This window comes from Homo sapiens, chromosome 5, assembly GCF_000001405.40.
Source record: "Homo sapiens chromosome 5, GRCh38.p14 Primary Assembly".
Taxonomy (NCBI): Eukaryota; Metazoa; Chordata; class Mammalia; order Primates; family Hominidae; genus Homo; species Homo sapiens.
In genome coordinates this window covers 118,821,958-118,822,875 of record NC_000005.10, presented here as the reverse complement: position 1 = coordinate 118,822,875, position 918 = coordinate 118,821,958, and the positions used below count along the sequence as shown (strand labels likewise).

Sequence of the window (918 nt, the reverse complement as noted above, 5' to 3'; positions counted from 1 at the left end):
ATTTACCAGTTCATGCCTAGTTGGTGGACATCATTTCTTCTTACTTTAAACCTTCCAGAGAGCCTCAAAGCCCTACACTGACATGACTTTATCTGTATAAACTGCTTTTAACGGGACAAAATACCTTTCAAGGAAAACTTACTGTTTTTTGACCAGTATTATAATCAGTCATTTTTATGCTGACCTGAAACAGCAGGAATGTAGAAGAACAATAGTAAGACTTTACTAACTGATCTTTGCTGATGATCTAGCTGCAGGTTGTGATGTTGCGGCATTCTTTGCATTAGGCAGTCTGCTTTTCTACAATAAAAATAATAAGCTTCCCACTGTTAGTTGTGAATCCCAGCTCACTTTCCTTTCATTGGACCTTGTTTTTTCACCTATTACTGAGAGTTCTGACTCAGGGGAATTGCTAGTAAATGCATTTGTGGCTGTATTTCTGTCCTGCCTTAATCAACATTTAACCTTCAGTCCTAGGGAACTGGGCTTGATCATATTCAAACCACAAAGTCTCTCCTTTCATCATTCTGATTTGAAGCCTCAACCTGCATATTGAGCTTCTCCTCGCTTCCTTTCTGAAGCCTCTGCTAGGTCGTTTAAAGGCCTTGCAAGATTGAGTCACCTGACAGTGCACCTAGGCCTGTAATAACATCTGTTGGAGAAAACTTAGAGGAGAGGAGCAGTAGGAGGTATGCAGTTCCTCATTGTCCTTTACCTCTGGAACTGTGCACAGAAATATAACATGGCATGTAACATGGCTGGATGGTAGGCTCCTAGCAAGATACTCAGCTCTTGGTATGTGGGGTTTAGAAGATGAATTATTGGGGGGAAACACTAGCCCTTCCCCTGGCAAGACCAGGAGTTAGGATCTAAGCCTTAGGGTTACAGATATATGATATGGTGGTACCTTGGCCTTTA

At 41.6% G+C, this 918-nt stretch overlaps 1 annotated feature.

Moving 5' to 3' along the window:
* Positions 1 to 528: an enhancer, noted in NCBI's record as "NANOG hESC enhancer chr5:118158043-118158570 (GRCh37/hg19 assembly coordinates)". NCBI's record gives its function as "activates a minimal SCP1, AML or CMV promoter by ChIP-STARR-seq in naive H9 embryonic stem cells {active_cell/tissue: H9 hESC(naive)}" and the evidence as "EXISTENCE:reporter gene assay evidence [ECO:0000049][PMID:30033119]".